Source organism: Homo sapiens, chromosome X (genome assembly GCF_000001405.40).
Source record: "Homo sapiens chromosome X, GRCh38.p14 Primary Assembly".
Taxonomy (NCBI): Eukaryota; Metazoa; Chordata; class Mammalia; order Primates; family Hominidae; genus Homo; species Homo sapiens.
In genome coordinates this window covers 90213293-90214113 of record NC_000023.11, presented here as the reverse complement: position 1 = coordinate 90214113, position 821 = coordinate 90213293, and the positions used below count along the sequence as shown (strand labels likewise).

At 45.2% G+C, this 821-nt stretch overlaps 1 annotated feature.

Moving 5' to 3' along the window:
* Positions 247-821: an enhancer, noted in NCBI's record as "OCT4-NANOG hESC enhancer chrX:89468292-89468866 (GRCh37/hg19 assembly coordinates)". NCBI's record gives its function as "activates a minimal SCP1, AML or CMV promoter by ChIP-STARR-seq in primed H9 embryonic stem cells {active_cell/tissue: H9 hESC(primed)}" and the evidence as "EXISTENCE:reporter gene assay evidence [ECO:0000049][PMID:30033119]".

Here is an 821-nt window from a genome sequence, read left to right as displayed (position 1 = left end):
CTCAGTATTTATTGATCATTATCTCTACCATCTCGGAGAGGGGGATGTGGCAGGACAATAGGGTAATAATGGGGAGAGGGTCAGCAGGAAAACATGTGAACAAATGTCTTAAGAAAAAGGTGCTGTGCTTTGATGTGCACATACATAAACATCTTGATGCATTAAAGAGCAGTATTACCGCCAGCATGTCTCACCTCCAGCCTTAAGGCGGTTTTCTCCTATCTCAGTAGATGGAACATACAATCGGGTTTTACACTGAGACATTCCATTGCCCAGGGATGAGCAGGAGACAGATGCCTTCCTCTTATCTCAACTGCAAAGAGCCCTTCCTCTTTTACTAATCCTCCTCAGCACAGACCCTTTACAGGTGTCAGGCTGGGGGATGGTCAGGCCTTTCCCTTCCCAGGAGGCCATATCTCAGACTATCACATGGGGAGAAACCTTGGACAATACCTGGCTTTCCTAGGCAGAGGTCCCTGCAGCCTTCTGCAGGGTATTGTGTCCCTGGGTACTTGAGATTAGAGAGTGATGATGACTTTTAACAAGCATGCTGACTTCAAGCACTTGTTTAACAAAGCACATCCTGCATAGCCCTAAATCCATCAAACCTTGAGTCAATACAGCACATGTCTCTGCGAGCACAGGGTTGGGGGTAGGGTTACAGATTAACAGCATCTCAAGGCAGAAGAATTTTTCTTAGTACAGAACGAAATGGAGTCTCTTATGTCTACTTCTTTCTACATAGACACAGAAGCAGCCTGATCTCTCTTTCTTTTCCCCACAGTAGGTTTATCTCTTTCACCAAATTTGGGAATTTTTAG